General features: G+C 46.1%; 1 protein-coding gene and 1 long non-coding RNA gene across 4 annotated transcripts in view, besides 3 other annotated features; one reads left to right on the top strand and one right to left on the bottom strand.

The window, feature by feature from the left end:
- FNDC1 (fibronectin type III domain containing 1) overlaps positions 1 to 13,975 on the bottom strand; it is a 102,709-nt gene extending 88,734 nt beyond the window's left edge. For all 3 annotated transcript variants that reach the window (NM_032532.3, XM_011536190.3, XM_011536191.3), the window contains exon 1: positions 13,670 to 13,975. In NM_032532.3, the coding sequence (NP_115921.2) occupies positions 13,670 to 13,778 (109 nt within the window). In that variant the 5' untranslated portion in view covers positions 13,779 to 13,975. The remainder of the gene's footprint in view (positions 1 to 13,669) is intronic.
- Positions 8,764 to 9,058: an enhancer, noted in NCBI's record as "tiled region #9512; HepG2 Activating DNase unmatched - State 20:ReprD". NCBI's record gives its function as "activates a minimal TATA promoter and a strong SV40 promoter by Sharpr-MPRA in HepG2 cells {active_cell/tissue: HepG2}" and the evidence as "EXISTENCE:reporter gene assay evidence [ECO:0000049][PMID:27701403]".
- Positions 12,621 to 13,120: an enhancer, noted in NCBI's record as "H3K4me1 hESC enhancer chr6:159591287-159591786 (GRCh37/hg19 assembly coordinates)". NCBI's record gives its function as "activates a minimal SCP1, AML or CMV promoter by ChIP-STARR-seq in primed H9 embryonic stem cells {active_cell/tissue: H9 hESC(primed)}" and the evidence as "EXISTENCE:reporter gene assay evidence [ECO:0000049][PMID:30033119]".
- Positions 13,368 to 17,476, top strand: FNDC1-AS1 (FNDC1 antisense RNA 1). The gene is made up of 4 exons (NR_121668.1): positions 13,368 to 13,563; positions 14,614 to 14,842; positions 16,021 to 16,126; positions 17,187 to 17,476. It is a non-coding gene; the product is annotated as an FNDC1 antisense RNA 1 (long non-coding RNA).
- Positions 13,927 to 14,096: a silencer, noted in NCBI's record as "silent region_17750". NCBI's record gives its function as "represses an Ori minimal core promoter by ATAC-STARR-seq in GM12878 lymphoblastoid cells {active_cell/tissue: GM12878}" and the evidence as "EXISTENCE:reporter gene assay evidence [ECO:0000049][PMID:35858748]".
- Positions 17,477 to 19,402: the final 1,926 nt, after the last annotated feature.

The following is a 19,402-nucleotide window of genomic DNA, read 5'->3' as shown; positions in this document are numbered from 1 at the left end:
GAAAAAAGTTGCATCATGGAAGCAGGAGAGATTTTCAGGAAGAAGGGAATGTCCCCCAATGTCAAGTCAAGTCAAGGCTGAAAAGAACCCATTTTTCTCCTCTTGAAAGAGAGTGTCCACCACCATTCAAGGCCCTCAAAGAAAGCAAATATGCCACTCAAGTTTCTCTCTACAAATATCAAACTTAGTCCATTTTTCTATGAATGTAGCTAATCCTACCTACCTCATAGGATTGATGCAAGAATAAAATATGAAAGAAAATCATAAAACACTCCACACATGTGAGATAACATCAACATGAGGAATAAATGCCACAGAACACCTGATATCCCCAATCACAACCTGGTACAAAATGACCCAGCCTGATTCCCAGTATCTCAGCTCTTGGCCAATTCTCCCTCCGCACACAGCAGAGCTGGCATTTGGTCCTCATTTCCTTCCATCTTGGAAAACATACTTTTAATTGGAATTTTTAAATCTTGACAGTTGAAAGGAAACTTAGATAATCTGATTCAGCTTCTCCTCTTCCATCTGCCTATTGATTGTAAATCCAAAATAGTCTTCAGTGATTTCCATGACTGGACAGACCCAGGCAAATTCCAACACATTTCCCTACCTTCAAAGGTAAACATCTTTGAATATGCTATTCAATTGGGTGACATAGAGTTACTAAGAAAGCCACTCCCCTGGGAATACAAGTGAATTAATTTGGAGATATGTAAGAAAGGCAATGGGCTTCAATCTACTGAAGGAAGCACTACATTGGCACATGAAAGAGTGAGGGTATCAGGCATTTACTATCAGCTGAGTGCCACTAACAAGAAACATTATCAGGGCCCAGGGGAAAGGAAGTCCTCCCAAAGCTAGGATAATCAGAGAACAGAGTATGGCATTAATGGAATTCAAAGAGCGCTTTTACTAGAGATTTTCCCCATGTGTGGAAGCCCTGGGTCACTCACTGCTTTCCAGGGCTTGAATTCCAAGAGGACACATAGTCTGTCCCTCTCTGTGGCTGTGACCTAGCCTATCTTTGACTCCTCAAAATGCTGAGAATTGTTTCCTGTAATGAAACTACATTACAATTTCAGAGTGCCAGTGGACCCCACGGAACTCATCCCAAGGACCCCAAGTCAGATTCCGCATGCTTGTTAAGAGGGACACACAATCTGCTCAGATGATATCTAGTGTTTGTACCCTGAACCTCAGCCTCCCTAGGTGCTAGCATTGAAAGTGCAGTCATGATGCAGCTGTGAAAATAAGATCACCCCAAGGCCTCACATCCTTTGGGTGTGGTTTGTTTGAATATCAGCAGGTACATATGTGGATTCTGAGAATTATTAGCCAAAACAAGATGCTTCAATTCTCCCAGGCTATCAGAGAGCAGTAGAAGGAAATTGATGGGTGGAGTGGAAAGTGGTATTAAAAAACAGACTGGAGCCAGGGCACATGTTACAGGAAAAGAGAACGTGATGGTTTTCCATATCATCAAGAAGGTCAAAGGCTGTCAGATCCACGGCCCATGGACTGTCTGTGGTAGAACAAGACTGCCTTCATCTCATGACCTGGAAGTCTCAATTAGAAAATACAATCTAGACAGAAAAAAAGAGAAAGGCACATTCCAAATTTTACAGAATAGGAAAAAAAGTACTGATTTTTTGAGTTTCAGATTGAGTCAACACCAAAGTGTGCCCGCCAGGCAAGGTCCTCAGACATAGTTGGTGGTTTCTCTTCCTGATCTTACAGTTCTGTATGTTTCAATGTAAAAACACTACATCTGGCAAGCGGAAGTTTATTAGAAAGTCCAAGATGATCCTATATTGCTACATTTATCATATTTGGTTGTCATTTATGGCCACAGCAATCCCAACTTCTTTATTACTAAATCTTTGTAACCCCAGAGCCTAGCACAGTGCCCTGCCCGCAGAAGATGTGAGTTAATTACTTATTATTTAATCTATCAGTGAAGGACCTAGCCAGGCTTGATCAAATAATTAAGACCACTTGAATGTCCATAGGTCTTTGGAACACCAGGTTGACAGTTCAGCACACAATGCATCTCAGGGGCTTATCCCTTCCTCATCTGAGCTGTGGCCCAGTGCTAGAAGCTGATGAACTCTTTTGCCTACTGAAAAGGAATCATCACTGATCATTAGAGAAATGCAAGTCAAAACCACAATGAGATACCATCTCATGCCAGTCAGAATGGCGATTATTAAGAAGTCAAGAAACAACAGATGCTGTCGAGGTTATGGAGAAATAGGAACGTTTTTACATTGTTGATGGGAATGTAAATTAGTTCAACCATTGTGGAAGATAGTGTGGTGATTTCTCAAAGATTTAAAACTGGAAATACCATTTGACCCAGCAACCTAATTACTGGGTCTATATCCAAAAGAATATAAATAATTCTATTATAAAGATACATGCACACGTATGTTCATTGCAGCACTATTCACAACAGCAGACATGAAATCAACCCAGTCTATCACATCAGTGATAGACTGGATTTTAAAATGCGGGACATATACACCATGGAGTACTATGCAGCCATAAGAAGGAATGAGATCATGTCCTTTACAGGGACTTGGATAATGCTGGAAGCCATTATCCTCAGCAAACTAATACAGGAACAGAAAACCAAACACTGCATGTTCTCACTTATAAGTAGGAGCTGAACAATAAGAACACATGGACACAGGGAGGGGAACAGCACACACTGGGGCCTGTCAGGGGAGGACAGGGGGTTGGGGCAGAGCATCAGGAAAAATAACTAATGCATGCCAGGCTTAATACCTAGGTGATGGGTTGACAGGTGCTGCAAACCACCATGGCACACATTTACCTATGTAACAAACCTGCACATCCTGCACATGTACCCTGGAACTTAAACTTAAAATTAAATTAAAAATTAAAAAAAGAAAAGGAATCATGTTGGTAAGCACACCACACGTTATGAGTTAAATTGTATCCCTTCCAAAAATATATTGAAATTCTAACCCCTGGTATTTGTGAATGTGACCTTATTGGGAAATTTTGGAAATACAGTCTTACAGAGTTAAGATGGCCAAAACTAATCCCATATGACCGGTGTCTTTACAAGAGAAGACGCAGGGAGAATGCCATATGACGTGGAGGCAGAGGTTGGACTGATGTGTCTAAAAGCCAAGGAAACCACAAGAAGCTAGGAAGAAGCAAGGATAGGCTCTCTGCCAGGGCCTTCCAAGAGAGCATGACTGGCCCTACAGATTCCAGACTTCCAGCTCCGGAGCTGCAAGATAATACATTTCTGTTGTTTAAAGCCACTCAGTTTGTGGTATTTTATTACAGCAGCCCTAGGACACTCACATACTGTGTAAATACAATTCTTCTCTCCAACTGAAAATGGACTTCCAACACAAAGCAACTCTCTCACTAACGCATATGCTGACACCACACAGTTAGGCTGGGAGGGAAGCAGGGCACTGTCCCACACTCGGCACCACCCCCTTATTCTGCTGGAGGCCGGTCAACATACATAAATATATTTAGGTATATCATATGTAACTAATACCAAAGAAAGCACATCCAGTCATTTAGTAAGCAGTCACTGAGCCTCTGCTATTTAAGGGCAGCATTCTAGACACGGAGGCTATAGCAGGGAATAAAACCAACACAATGTCCTGCCCTCGTGGAGCTTACATTCCAGCAAAGGAAGATAGCCAAATATCAAGTAAGCCAGTAAAATATATGAAATGCCGGGTGTTGATGAGGGCGTGGAGCAAAATAAGGCAGTGATAAGATGTGCTGGGGGTAAGGATAGGATTACCCTGTTAAAGGCAGGGAGAAGTCCAGAAGGCCTCTTGAGAAGATGTTGCACAAAGAACCTGAAGAGGATGAGGCATCAACCCATAGATTGTTTTTGTTTTTGTTTTTGTTTGAGACAGAGTCTTGCTCTGTCACCCAGGCTGGAGTGCAGTGGCCCAATCTTGGCTCACTGCAGCCTCCGCCTCCTGGGTTCAAGCGATTCTCTTGCCTCAGCCTCTTGAGTAGCTGGGACTACAGGCGTCTGCCACCATGCCTGGCTAATTTTTGTTTAGTAGAGACAGGGTTTCACCATTTTGGCCAGGCTGGTCTCGATCTCCTGACCTCAGGCAGGTGATCTGCCCGCCTTGGCTTCCCAAAGTGCTGGGATTATAGACATGAGCCACTGCACCCAGCTATCAACCCACTGATGTTCATGGAAGGTTGCTCAGGCAAAAGGAACGGCCAGCGCAAAAGCCCTAAGGCTGGAAGAGGCCTCGTACATTGCAGAACCAGCCAGGAGGCCGGAGGCCAAAGCAGATGGCAGACGGTGAGGGAGGGCGTGGTGTGGAAAGGATCATGCACAGTCTGGAAAACTTGTTGGGACTCTGGTTTGTATCTGAGGGAGTCAGGGAGCTATTGGAAGGTTCTGTGACATTGTGCATCACGAGAATTGCTGCAGCTGCTGTCCTGAGACTGGAATGTTGCGGGAGAGGACAGGAGCAGTGAGACTATGGAGAGGTCACTGCAAAAATCCAGGTAATACGGCTTGGACCAGGGTGGTAGCCGCACTTCCCTGAGATGCCAAATTGCATGCCATGATTTCTCCATTTACAAAAAAAAAAAAAGAAAAACACTTGCAAGCTAACTGCAGTGATCACAAGCAGAATGGGCAAAACACTTTTAAAAATAGTCTTTGGACAATCTCAAAAGGTGACATACTGTAGAACGGCATTTATATGACATTCTTAAAATGACAAAATTATAAAATGGGGGAACAGATTTGTGTCTGGGGTGGATGGGAGGAAGGAAGGTAAATATGGCTACATTAGGTAGCACAGGGGCCTTCTCAGAGAACTCTTCTGCATCTTCACTGTCCTGGCTGGGATGCGGCACTACAGCTATGCAAATGCCGCCTTTAGGGGAAACTAGGTGGAGGGTACATGGTACGTCCACCTTACTGCTGTCAACCTAAACAACAGAGAGGGAGACTCCAAGAGAAAATGATGTTGATTTAGGAGTATGTATTGCAATGGGAATTTGTATGCCACGGTGAACTATACGCATACTCAGGGAGTGAAAGGAAGACAAAGGCTTTTAAAGCGAAAATAAGGAAGATAGCAATTGTCTTGAGTTCATTATCCTTGGCTACAAGGATCAATGAAGAGGATAGTGCCAGTCTGAGGATGGACAGGAAGTTGCTGGGCAGACGTCAGGTTGTCATGGCCTTTGGCAGGCTTGTAATTTTTGTAGTCTTTGCTGAGAGCTCTTGTTATCAGGCATTCGTGCATAGAATCCTCCCCTGCTGGCCTTTCATGGCTCTGTTTGTCAGGGGTTTTAGCATAAGTGACTCCATTTTGATTCTGACAACATTCATCCTTCTTATAATTGAACAGGAATCTATGACTATCTCAAAATTAAAACTTTTTTAAAACATTTTTTGAAAAATAGCATTTAAGCCTAGGGTGAAGTCCAAACCACCGACCTTTATGTCTGCGGGGGAATGGGCACACCAGAATTGGCCATAAGAAATGATCGTTGAAAGCACCCCACGACACTCCACTAAAGTAAACACAGCCACACCAGCTACTCTGTGAAGGGCACTCCTGAGCTTTCTGTCCTCTAAGTGTGACTGATGCGTCATCACGAGCACACATCCATCAGAGGAGGCCGAGCCTTCTCTGCAGGGGGATTTTATTGTATATGTGATTCTGTGCCACCATGGCAGTTTTCCCCACCATCCCCCAGAGCACCCATAAATTTCACAGAGCTTTTGTCAAAAGCAGCTTCTCCTGATTCTTCAGAAGGGGCTCACAGTGAGCCCACCTGCCCCAGGTCCTGCCCTCCCCTGCCTGGCTAGGGAGGCTTCTCCTGAGCTCCTAGGACACCACACCTGACCACACCTGCCACACCCCATCCAGCCCCGTGAGTTCCGCCATGGGTGACTGTGGATGAGACTTCATCTCCAGACAAATGTGGGATCATGAAAAATTAGGAGACATCACCGCACAGCTTTCTCAGGTACTTTATTAAAATGCTAGCTAACTCCAGCCACAGCACTAGGGCTTAAGGTACCCGCTATCCACACTTCTTCAAGAGTGGCACATGCTCATCTCCACTCTGTTTGCAGACTTAGTGAAAGTCTCAGTAAACTGTGTCCATTTATTTCCTCTTTAAGCCAAGTTACTTACCACTCCCCGCCCATGAACTCCTAAAATTGCACAGGGTCTTTCCTTGGGAACCACACTGAATTTGGCACAGACCCACCCCTGGCCCCAAAGCCAACATACTCAACTGTTCAAGACCCGCACTATAAATCAATCCTACCAGACTGCCCACATGTAAATACATGAGACTTATGCTACCCTGGAGCCCTTTCCAAAATAAGACTGTTCTGGAACATACGAGCCATTTCAGAAAACATGAAACAAAGATGATTCTTCAAATGAGATATGACTGGAGGCGATACAATATAGGCATTTGGTCTATATTGGCATGAAGAAGGCCCCAAACAAATAAGCAAATATAGAAGAAGCCCCAAACAATGAACAAAAGCCTCAATGGCCCTTTCTGGCCAGAGCCTCATGCAGTACTGGGATTGGCTGCTACCTGACCTCCCACTGACCCAGCGACATGCCACCTTATGGCACTCCCTCGGTGGCCACCAACACTATGGATCAAGGTCAGACCCCAGGACTTTCCTGAGCTGGGTGCCTCCTACACCTCCAACCCCGAATGCCACCATTGACCCAGAGCAGCACTTAGCACGAACCACCTCGAATATTCCTGGTTCCTTGCACATGACTTCACGTGTGCAGCAGGGTCTGTTCCTCGACCAGAGATGTCCTTCCTCAGCATCTTTCTCCAACTAATGCCTATGTCCTTCTCAAAAGGGCTCAAATATAGCTGGCCTTGACCTCCCAGTCAATTCACCCTCAAAACACCTGTGCTACCTCTGTCCTAGCACGTATCACCTGTCTGTATTATCCTCATCCAGCCCTCCTTGCCTGTGTGTCCTCTGACAGCAGGCACTATGTTCATCTGACTTTGTGTCTTTGTCTGACTCCCAGTAACCCTTGCTGAATGGATGAATGAATGAATGAATGGACCTCCTTCAAATGGAGACTCACACAAAGTTAGAGCTGGGGGGCCCTTCACAATATCTAGGTCAATCCCCTTGCTTTGCTGATGAGAAAACTGAGGCCTGAAGAGTTATGACCCACCCAAGGTCACACAGCCAAATTGGTGGCTCAATTAGGACCTAATAAACCAGATGAAGGGACGTGACACCATAAAACAGTCCCTAAATAGCAGAGCCCAGCATTTAAATGGCACATTTCTCCTGAGAAGTTCAAGACACTTTAACGCTGTGAGCATCAGCCTCACCACCTCTGTGAGATGTAGGGACTTGTCAACCATATAGATTAGCCACTAATGTTTCTCAGCATTTTTCCTTGACTTAAATGGTCCAGTAAACAAAACTGAGTGTCTTAGCACAAGGTGGTAGCACTTCCGGGAGCCTTCTGGTTAAATACAGTCTCAAAGGTTCAAAGTTGTGATTTCCACGGTAAAGATCAAGCACTCACAGAGAGTAGCAAAGAGTTTGGGTAACAGGTTAGACACCGAGCACCGGCTCTAAGATGCCAACAGGCGAGCTTAACAGGACCACCAAGGAAAGGGGGCTTCCCCACAGTGAGGACCCTGCTCACATCCACAGGCCAAATCCATCTTGTAACAGAGGCTACATTCACTGCCACTTTGTCTTAAGTTTAGCCTTGTTGGAGTTCAACACATTTCAGTACCTCACATAATCATTTTTCAACAGCCGACAGCAATGTTACAGAAGTAAACTCAGGAAGGCATTCTGAGCAGATCAAAGATGTGAGTGTTGGCACTCACATCCAGCCTAGAGAAGAAAACAAGGAGATACAGTAAAAGCTCAAACCAACCAGAACAGGGGTGTCTGCAGGGAGAGTGTGGGATCTGGACCGCAAAGACTGAGTATTAGATTACAGACTTAGGGAAAACCAGTTAACCTCTCTGACCTCAGCTGCCCCAGTAGCAAGATGAGGATGTTACTGACTTCGTAAGGTCACTGTGAAAATTAAATTAAATAACAGAGAGAAATGGTGAACTCCGTAACACTTTAAACTGCCAGTTATTATTAAAAGGAAGTAAAAATGTACACCTAGGAATTCCTCATAAAACTGAAAATAGAATTATGTAGATTGTACTTTATAGATTATAAGGATGCCATAATTAAATCATTTCGTCCACATGTAGGAGACTGCGGTAAAAAAAATGTGAGCAGCATCTACTTTGTAATTAACATGAACACCTCTCAAGTTATTTTGCTACAAGTGTAGCATTATTATAATAATTAGAATACATAGTATATAATTATAATAATTTGACATTATAATTGTAATATTATCCTCTCTGGATACAAAAATTAACATTGGTGGTGGAAGGGAGAGGCTGAGACGGGACCCATCAGGGCCAAGGAGGCAGTTCCTGAGGCTGGTACCCCTGAGACATCCCTTGCTCTCACCCCATCTTCCAGCTGCTGCATCTTTGGTGGAGGCCTGCAGAGGCACCAGCGGCACCCCAACAGCCAGCGGGCTTCTGACCCCAGCTGCAGGTCTAGGCAATTTCCTTTCTCATCAGTGCTTATTTGAATTTGCTAACACGCAGCCATTTCGACTCTTAATTAGTGATCTGTCCTTTCCCATTTAATATATGAAGAAAGCGCCAATGAGTAGAAAAATTGCCAAAAGGCAAGCACTAAGGGAGAAACAAGGCAGATAACTGGATGTTTGTCCTAATTTTCTTATCTCTATAAAGCCGCAGCGACAGCTAAGTCCAACTAGGGCTGCACGGAAGGGCCTGCGGGTGGTGGCTTCGGCTCCAGAAGTCCAGGAGCGCCCTCTAAGGGCCTCAGAGCGCAAGCGCTGCCCAGGCCGGGCCGAGGGAGGAAGACGCAGGTTTTTCATAAGCAAGGATAACTTTTAGGAGGGAGGAAAACGGGGTGCTCACGAATGTGAATAACCAATTCACATACCTCCCTGATTCCAAATGTTCTAACATACATCTACAAAAGTTGGTAAAAGAGATGGATGAAACAGTATCCACCACTGTCCCCCAGCGACCCAGCTCTCCATCCCAAAGGCACCAAAGTTTGTAGTTTCATGGGTATTCTAACAGAAACGTTCTGTGCAGTTACAAGTAAATACATACACATACATAGTCCTTTCTCTCCTTTACTTTTATACCTTTAAATACCTCTATTTTTTAACTGAAATAATAGCTTCTGATAACAGTTTAATTATAACTCAAGAAATCCCTAAGTTCCATGGGGGGCCAATGAAAAGAGGTCTGCTCCTTAATCAGCCAAGGGTGATGGAGCCTCTCCCGAAATGTTTGCTTCCAGGCTCCCTGCCCCCCTCATCCCTTGAGGTAGGAAGAATAATGATCCCCCAAAGATGTCCTTGTCCTAATCCCGAGAACCAAGGATGTGGGCACCTCTAGAAGGTAAAAAGAGCATGGAAATAGATTCTCCCTTAAAGTTTCAATGCAGGCCTTGATTTTTGCCCAGTACCGCACATTTCAGACTTCTGATCTCTATAACTATAATAAAGATCATAAATTTGTATTGTTTCAAGTCATTAAGTGTGTGGCAATTTGTTATAGCAATAGGAAATGAATACACTCTCCTTCCCCTCCTGTTTTCAGGGAACGGGCCTTTAGAACTTAAGTATGATGTGAATGGTCTTGGTAGAGTATATTCATCATGCTCTGGAACTGTCTGGTGATAACTTTCCAGGGGTGCAAATTGTCACTCTGCAATCCTATTACAACCTCTGATTCCACAGGAATAAATTTCATGATCAGTTGATGAACAAAACAGCTCTTCCATCTGCCATTGGCGGGTGCCAGTGCACAAAAAAGGAGAGAGGGTCTCACCACGTTCTCTCAAAGAGGACTGAAGTAACAGGGAAACCCCATAAAGCCACATGCAGGTTGAGCCACAGGCGAGCTTCTAAAGGCTTCCAGAGATGGAAGGAGCCTCCTTCAATTGACCTATTCTGAAGCGCGGAGACTAGCCCAAGGCCCCCAGAGGTGCAGGACAGCACTGCCACTCACACCCAGGCATCCTGATTTTTAACCTACTTCCCTCCGTATATACCAGTGTGTCTCAAACATTTTGGTGTCTGAATTATCTTCTATTCTTAAATTTACGAGGATGCCAAGGAGGTTATGTTTCTGTGAGTTTTATCTATCCTTATTGACTTTACTGGGAATTAAAACGAAAATATGTACTTATTTATTTTAAAAAACAATAATAAACCATTACATGTTGACATACAAATATATTTATATGAAAAGTAACTGTTTCCCAAAACAAAGAGAAATGAGTGAGAAGAGCAGCTTTGTTTCTACATTTTGGCAAATCTTTTTAATAGAATATCTCCGATCTGCTTATGCATTCAATCTATTGCAATATGTCGTTTTGCTTGGAGAAAACCCAGCCTCACACAGATGTGTAGCTGGACAACTATTTCAATAGCCTTTTTGGATAATTTTGAAAAATCTTTGATATTACACCAAAATTCATCAAGTAGCCAATTCTTAGAATCTGAAATCATATGAAGAATTTTTCATATTTTGTTACATTAAAAATCCATTGGGCTATCATGCACTTTGAACAGACCTTTTACCCATGCAAGATTGTTGTAAGGCTATACACTGGTCATTTGGATCTATTGGTTTATTTGGTTATGCAGATCATCCAAATGTTGACACATTTTATGAGATGACATTTACAAATCACATTCATTTATATCACCATTGATCTCACTAGAAAAAAATTTAAATATTGGGAAACTTTCAAGCTTACAGTGGTGGAAACAACTTGGCAAAATTCTGATTTTCACTTGAAAGCTGAAATGTTATCATTGGCAAGCAATAATAGCAGTTATTTTACTAGAAGTAGCAAGTTCCCTTTGTTCATTTTTGAGAAAACATCGGCCAAATACCCAAGTCAGAATAGCTCTAGTTTGTCTGTTGTCATTCTTTGTGGTAAATACCACATTCCATTTTAAAAAACCAGCTAGCTTAATGCATAACACAAACAATCACACCAGTGCTTCCCCCTGGGGTTGCCACTGAACTTGGTCATCAGCAGTAGTAACTTATGTGTCCTTCCCATTTATTTACACTATTAAAAAGACATACACTCAAAGATACAAAGATTTGGTAAAATTAATAATTTTACTGTGGCATCAAGAACATTCTTAATGAAACTGGCAAATTTTTTTTAACTGCAAAGTCCCCCCAAAATTCAAAGACTACTAGTGCATGGTGATGTCCCTGCCTTGATTCTCAGTAAGACACCCGCAGTTTACCCATCAAGCTTTTGCACCCTCAGTGCAAATGTCAACTGTGAAAAAGGAAAATAGCATCTTAGTAATCTTAGTATTACTTTGAAAATAGTTTTGACATGGAAAATTCCCTAAAAGCTTCTTTAAAGAAGAAAATAAAAATCATCCCTAACCATCCTAAGATACCCACTGCAAATATGTGCATGTGTGAGTACATCCACATGTGTTTAGAAAAATGTATCATACCAGACTGGCAAGGCCATCATAATTTTAATGTTTGCATAGTATCCTATTGTAGGGATGAATATGAGTGGAGGAGGGGACACTGCTTGCTTATTTTGTTTTATGTTTAATTGACCCTACACTGAAGGGCTTATCCAGATCTTCAGTGTGTCCTGCTTTAAGCAAAGTCCCTCGGAGCCACTATTATGTGGCCGTGGGTAATTTCCTTACAGAGATTCTGGCCCCAAAAGGGTGGTGAAGGGGAGAGCTTGACACAAGCAGCTCGCTTGGTCCATGCATTAGTTCAACCAGAGAGAGGGAGCAGTCTATCCATGACGTTGCTGTCAAAGGGAGCCCATGAAAGAAGTTATGTACCCCATAATTTCATCCACAGCATGGGGAGCTATCTACAGGTTGCTATGTCTGTTTCTATCCTTCTATTACTTAATTTAAATTTAGTAGATTTCATTCTGAAATGTGCCTGTCCTCCTTTGTCCACCTCTAGTCTGGTCATCATTTGACTGTAGATCCCACGTCAACACAGTAGAGAGAAGGGCTGGGAAGCTGTCCAGCCCCAGCATTCCTCAGCACAGTGATTCACAGAGCAGAAGGCGAAAAAGCAAGAGTGCAGATCGCGGTGGGATTCCAGGAGCTCTCACAAACAACCCCGCTCGGACCCACTCACATGCAACCCACGGGCAGGTGGCAGAGGAATCGGAAAAGCAGAAGGCTGGAATCGCCACAAAGCCAGGGCAGCACTGGTTCCAGTTTCAGATCATTTTCAGAAACAAAAACTCTTCCAGCACTCTGAAAATTTTCACTTAGAAAAACAAAAGCCAGGAGTTGTAGGTGGGGAAGTTGGAAGACTTTATTTAGTTTTATTCCTCTCAAGTACTGTGCAAAGTATTCAGTGAATACTTTCCTAGAGTTCACTAATGGGAAGAAAAAGACCCTACGGCAGGCACTGCCTTTTATGAGAAAGTGGCATTGGCATCAGAATACCTCGCATAAACCTGAGCCAAGCATTGGGATGATGTATCTACCAAAAAGTCACAAAGTAATGTGATCCCCAACTTTTCTTCCTTTACCCCTGAAGTAAGAGAACAATATATACACTAAATAGCATCATAAAACTGGTACCCTCGTTGGAATAGTATCTGACGATCATTGTCTGCTTCTTGGATTTCTACAAACCAATAACCTAAAAGCCAGTTTCAAGTGTAAAAATGCCTGCAAAGGAGGTGGTAACAAGGGCCGCCAAAGGCTTAGGAATGAAAACCTCGCCACAAACTTGTCTCTCTCTGCAGGAAGCTTGCAAGAAATCTGACAGGAGCGCGCTAGCATTTTCTGAAAAGCATTGCTCTCAAAGGAAGCATCCATCCTGGCTGCAGCCTCAGCCATTGGGGAAGGGCGAGTTTCTCTGGAATCAGCTTTCTCATTTCCCTCTCCCTCCTCTCAAGACAAACATTTTCTCCCAGCTTGAACGTTCCCCCCGGGCGCGCGGGCCTCCTGCCGCCTGGAGCCGAGCTGGCACTGGAGCGCTTCTCCTCTGGAGCGCAGAGGCACCCGACGCCCTGCGGCAGCTCGCAGCCTTTCCCCCACGACCTTCTAGAACAGCCCTGCTCTGCCTCCCTCCGGTCTCCCGAGTGCGCCCGTCATCCTGCCTCGCGAGAGGTGAACGCGGAGAAAGTAGGATGACCACCTACGCTCCCGAGAAATTCTGGGCAAAGAAAGGCATTACCCCAGTCCGCACGCTGAAAGTCGCCTTTCTTTTCCTTTTTTCCCCGCTGTGCCTGAATCTCCCGGGACACTTAGACGGCTGGAGCCTCCCGACTCCAAGGCGGGCGACGGCAAAGTTAAACGCCAGCGCGCTGCGGTCCCCGGGCACCGAGGCGTCCCCGCTCCCGCCACCCACACAGGGCGCCAAGTGCCCCGACCCGCGAGTGACGAGGACGCACAGGCTAGTGACACGACCCGTAGCCAGCACTGAGCGGGACGACGGGGCCCGAGCGCAGGAGGGTGCGCGGGGAGCTGAGGAGCGCCGGGGGCCCGGGCGCGGCGCGTACCTGAGGCCGCCGCCGAGGAGGCGACGGGGAGCAGCGCGGCCAAGAGCAGCAGCGCCGCCCAGGACAGCCGGCGCGGCGCGCGCAGGGTCGCCCCGGCCTCGGGGGCCATCGAGAGCCCGGGGTGGGCCGGGGCTGGGTGCTTGCGGCTGGCAGGGGGGCGCTGGCCGGAGTCTGGGGAGTGCCGAGGCGCCGCCGTCGGGTCCCCGCCGCCGTCCGTCTGTTCTGCGCGCTCTGCGCGGTGCCCGCCGCGCCCCTGCCCCGCGGCGATCGCTCCCGGCCGCACACCGGCAGCCGCGCTCCGCCACTGAGGCCGCCGACCTCCCGCCGAGCCTTTTAGCTGCGCTCGGGCGCCCCCTGCCGGTGTGCGGGGCCGGGGCCAGGGCCGGCGGGGGCGACCCGGGCGACAGGGGCGACGGGGGCGGCGGGGCCCGGGCTGGAGGCGGGCGGGGCGCGGGACGAAGGGGCCGGAGCGCCCCGGACTGACTTAGCGGTTCTGAACTTGGGGCGGTCGCTGTGCCGGGCCAAGTGGCTGAGGAAGTTCCTCCCCTCGTCTAACCCTCTCATTTTCTGGCTGGGGAAGTCGCCCATCGCGCCGAGGAGTGCCCTTTGTCCCCTTACAGAAACACCTCTGCGCCCCAAGTGGGGACTCGGGCCGGGACCCCTCACCCGGTCCGCAGCGCTGTAGTTCCTGTGGCTAGCCCAGTCCTTCCACGTCCCTACCCGCACCCGGCGCGCCCACGTCAGGGGTTTTCAGCGTCCTTAGACCCTGCTCCGTCTGGCTGTCATTTCTAGGGCGCGCACGATGCGGGTCGAAAAGGAACCCAGTTTTCAGTGTGCCTTGTTGCCCAGGCCAAGGACTCAGCGGACCTCGCCTCTCCCTTTTCTGTAATTGTAACACTGCCCCAGGTCTCCCTATTCCTCCTTCTCCCTATTCCTCCTTCCAGCCTGGAAGCCTCGCGGCCCTCCAGATGGACTCGGAGCGCCCCTGGAGGCTACAGTGACCTAAGCTCTAGGAAGGCCGGGTCCTGGACGCCGCGTGCTGCTGTCCGCCGCCGACCGGTGTCCTCGCAGAGATAACCTGGCTGAACTCACCGCCCAGCGCTATGTCAGTTCTCCCTCATGACAACCCAAAACTTGACCGGATTTGTGTTCTGCAGAGAGGAAAAAAAAAAGGTAAATGAATTGCAAAGAGATGAAAACCAGAAATACAGTATCTCTTTGAATTTGAGCACCCAGGAAAGGTGTAAACCTACCGCCTTCCTTTCCAGGAAACTCTCCTGCTTCCCAGCAAAGGTTTTTGTTTGTTTGTTTTTCTTTTTCTTTTTGTTTTGAGACAGGGTCTCCCTCTGCCTCTGCCGCCCAGGCTGGAGTGCAGTGGTGCAGTCTTGGCTCACTGCAACCACCATATCCCAGGCTCAAGCCATTCTCCTGCCTCAGCCTCCTAAGTGGCTGGGACTACAGGTTTCAGCCACCATGCCCAGCTCATTTTTGTATGTTTTGTAGAGACAGGGTTTCCCCACGTTGCCCAGGCTGGTCTCCAACTCCTGAGCTCAAGCAATCCGCCCACCTTGGCCTCCCAAAGTGCTGGGATTACAGGCGTGAGCCACCACGCCCAGCCCAAACACACTTTCCTGCATTACTCCCTTATGTTATCATGTTTCCCCACATGCCATTTAATGGAGCTGTGTGGTTTCTGTCTCACCAGCAGCCACCCGGCTCTGCCTATTTTGGGGGAATGGTAGCTCCCTCCCCAACTCCAACCAAGTGACAGGCCCCCTCCTTACTCCCACTCCTTCCCAAAGCCCCACTTCCCCACTGGCTCAGGGCTCTGCAGTGGCCTAGACAGGGTCACTCAGAGTTGGGACTCTTCTAACACGGGCTGGTGGAAAGGTCTCTTTCTCCCATCATTCGTGGATTTGGAAGGATGGTAGCCATGGCAGGCTGAAACACAGCCTTCCTCCCCAAAAAGACATTCCTGTCCTAGTCCCTGACCCTGTGAATGTCACCTTACATGGTTTATTAAAAAGCAATTAAGCATGCTGAGACAGAGAGATTATCGTGGATTATCTGGGTGGGCCCTAATGCAGTCATGTATGTAACTTATAAAACAGAGGAGAGGGAGATTGACGCACACAAGAGAAATCCAGGTGAGGACGGAGGCAGCCATGGGAACGATGCACCCACAGCCCAGGGATGCTGGCAGCCCTCACCAGAGGCTGGAAGAGGCTCCTCCAGAGCCTGTGCTGGACTTCAGGCCAGTGGAACTGATTTCAGACTTCTGGCCTCCAAGACTGAGAGAGCAGATTTCTGTTGTTTAAGCCACCCACCCCGTTTGTAATTACTTCTTACAGCGGCCACCGAACACCAGTGCAGTAGCCAGGATGGGCCTGTGGCTCTGGCTGCAGCCTCCAGGGACACCAGCTGGAGAGAAGGAAGCCACGCATGGAGAGCGGCCAGGTGGGTAGAAAAGAGCCGGGCAGATGCAAGAGTCCCGGGCTCCACCTCACCCCTGCGCTTTCTGAACGCTGGTTCTGGGGACAGCACATTCCCTTTTGCTAACTTGGAATGAGATTTCTATTTTCTATAACCAATGAGTCTTGACTAGTGCACTCCCCCCTGTTCTTAAGAGGACAAGAACCAAGACTTATCTTTATTGCTCATCTGTCACCCAAAAGAGGCCATCACAGAACCAAACACAGTAATATCCAGGAAATGCTGAGGTTAATTGCCATTCATTCATTCATTCAGCAAATACTTATTGTGATCTACTCTGTCCCCAGCACTGCTGTAGACCCCGGGGATTAGCAGTGACTGAAAGCAGATGAATAGCAGGAGTTAAGTTAAAAGCAGAGAAGGGGAGGCAGCACTGAGGACTTTACAGGCTGCAGGAAGGGTTTAGGCTTTCAATCTGAGAGGTGAAGGGCAACACTGGAGAATTCTGATCAGAGGAGACACGGGTAAGCAGGCTCTTACAATCCCAGTGAGGCAAGACGGTGCTTGGACATGATGGACAGCAGTGGGGCACGAGAACCAGTGAGGTTCTGGATGCATCTTAAAGGTATGGTTTGGGAGATTTTCTGACTCATTGGATGTGGAGAAAAAGAGGATTTGCAATATACCGAGTCACACTATTCTCATGCTGCTGGTTAACTCTCCATTGTGACTTCTGTAATTTCAGGATGTCACTCTTTAGTTTCATTGTAATGAACTAATCATATGCCATAATCTCTATATGCACACAGTGAAAGCTCAACAGACATCAGTTTCCTTCCCTGCATCCTCAGGAGATGCATGTGCACTTACCTTCCTCCCCAGAATACTTATTAGAGCAACTTTCTTAGGGGTACATTTCAGAGTGAAGCACAATGCAAAATTACTTCCAATTTTAGAGTTTCAGAACCCTCAACCATGGGCTGTTTGATATTAAATGAAATTACTGACACTTATGAGTTCTGATTCTGATTTCATTACAAATATGAGAGTGTGTGTTTTAATCAAAAGGTATTATTACCTTTAGGCTCAAAATATCTTAAAGAAAATGGAACTCGGAGTCAGTCATCTGTTCTCAACGTGGTCATCTCAAAAATATGAGCACACGGAAGTTTTCTTCCTTCTTGTCAGTTTTGAGTCCAATATCAATACTGTTGTCCTGTGAAAGATTTTAAGATTTAAATGTTTTTTCATGTAATTTCCTGATGTCTTGATTGTTGCTTCTATTTTGTTCATCAAAACCAAACAGAGTGGAGGTTGCTCTGGGGCTGGATGGATGGCCAGTCATTAAAATCAATGCCTTATTAGTCTGCCTTAGTTCTGTGGTCTTTTCTGGCTTTACAGATCAGCTTGTGTTCATATACACTATTTCCTGTTCTAGTTATTTTTAAAATAACTATACATCCAAGGAGTTCAGCACTCCTCATACACATTGTCGTGGCATTCCTATGTGATAGGGTAAATTAAATTGCTATTCTCGTGTTTCATATGGATAAATGGGAAGCAAGTTCAAATGACCTTCCAGTACAGACTCAAGTAGAGCGTTGAAAGTGCGTGTCTCATATTATTCATCTGACATTTAATCTTGTTCAGTCTTCAATTTGGCTCATGTGGCTCTTTAATTCCTTTTTAAGCACCACATTTGAATATATCTGCATATTGTGATCGCCGCAGGACACTACACAATACCCATTACACAATAGTGATATTTTTAAAAGACTACATAGAAGGAGAACAAAAGAGAGTGTGCTCCTACAGCACTTGCTGTGATTGTGGGGAGCTCAATAAATCGGACACAGCAGATCTGGAGGAACACAACAGTCCCCAGGATTCTATGAACAGAGGGAAAAGGGAAAAGAAAATAGAAGCAGGCAAGTCGACACTGCCATCTCAGTTTCGCCTTGACCTGGGAGAAGGGTGATAGAAATAGCTTCTAGCTGGCAATAAAATAAAATAATAAAATAATGCTTTACTTCTTTTCTTGAACAGTACTCATTTCGTTCCGATTCTCACAACAACTTTAGGGGCACTATTCTGATTTTACAGGAGAAAATCAAGGCTCCAAGAAGGCGTGTGGCATGTGCTTGGCCCTTTAACTGGTGCGCCTGGGAGTCCAGTCTGAGCCTCTGACCCCAAGTACACATCTCTCTCCACCACACGTGACTCTCAGAAGGTCCTTCCCTCTCTCCCATTTTCATTAAAACTATGAGGATCAGGGGAGACAGGACAAATAAAAGTCTGTTTTGCACACGCCATGTCCCCGTGTCCACTGCAGATTTATCGGAGACACTTCCTTATCATCCAGATAGTGACCAATCCCTCTTAGCAAACAACTACATGAGACCTCAATGTTATATCACTCATGTTCTTAGAGTTTCAAAGATGCAGACAAGAAATGGTGCTTCTTAAAAAACACCCTGCCATGAATCTATCATTGCCCAAAACACACTTCCTCTGCACAGAAGTTCTAACATGTTTCCACTGCAAGGCAGTGCCAAGGCAATTCTCTTCTATTGTACAAATCTACTGGGAATTAGTGAAACATAAAGGATTAAGGTGTCAGACACCAGCCTCACATATGCATGGTTGGCATGATTAAATTAAAAAACTCACAGATTTGTGTTCTAAGTTTCTGTCCAATGGCCCAGGTCAATCCAGCCTACATTCCACACATGGAAGAAGATATTCCAATTCTGCCAACTACTGCTTGTCAATGGGGACAGGAGAAATCATTCATTCTTCTATTCCTTTATATATCCTTTGTTGAACACCTATTTTTGTTCCATGCCATGTAGTAGAATCTGGGGGTGCAAATGTGACTAAGACACAGACAGCCCATGCTTCGAAGCGCTCACAGTCAAATGCAACAGATAAACAAACAACTGAAAACAATCACAATCCAATGTGACAAGTGCTGTAATCTTCAGGCCATGGAGCTTAAAGGAATTTTCATGAATGTTGCGCAACACTTCCTTTACTTATTTTCCCACCAAGGAGATTTTTAACCCTATGTCTACTTCTCATAGGCAGACATAGGGGTATGTTCACTCTAATCACACTAATCCTGTGGAATTAAAAAGAGCACAGTTTGGGGAGGAGACATTAGTAAATCTGAGTGGAACAAGAGCTCAAAATGTAGTCTTCAAGTTGCAGTTGGCAGTTTGAAAAGCTGGCCCGGCATTATGCTAAGAAAACATATGTCTGGCCGCCTTCCCAGGCTGCATTTTTCTGATTCCCAGCGTC

The sequence above is a fragment of the Homo sapiens genome, chromosome 6, assembly GCF_000001405.40.
Source record: "Homo sapiens chromosome 6, GRCh38.p14 Primary Assembly".
NCBI classification, from domain to species: Eukaryota; Metazoa; Chordata; class Mammalia; order Primates; family Hominidae; genus Homo; species Homo sapiens.
The sequence above is the reverse complement of the archived record's forward strand: the minus strand, read 5'-3'. Positions and strand labels throughout refer to the sequence as shown.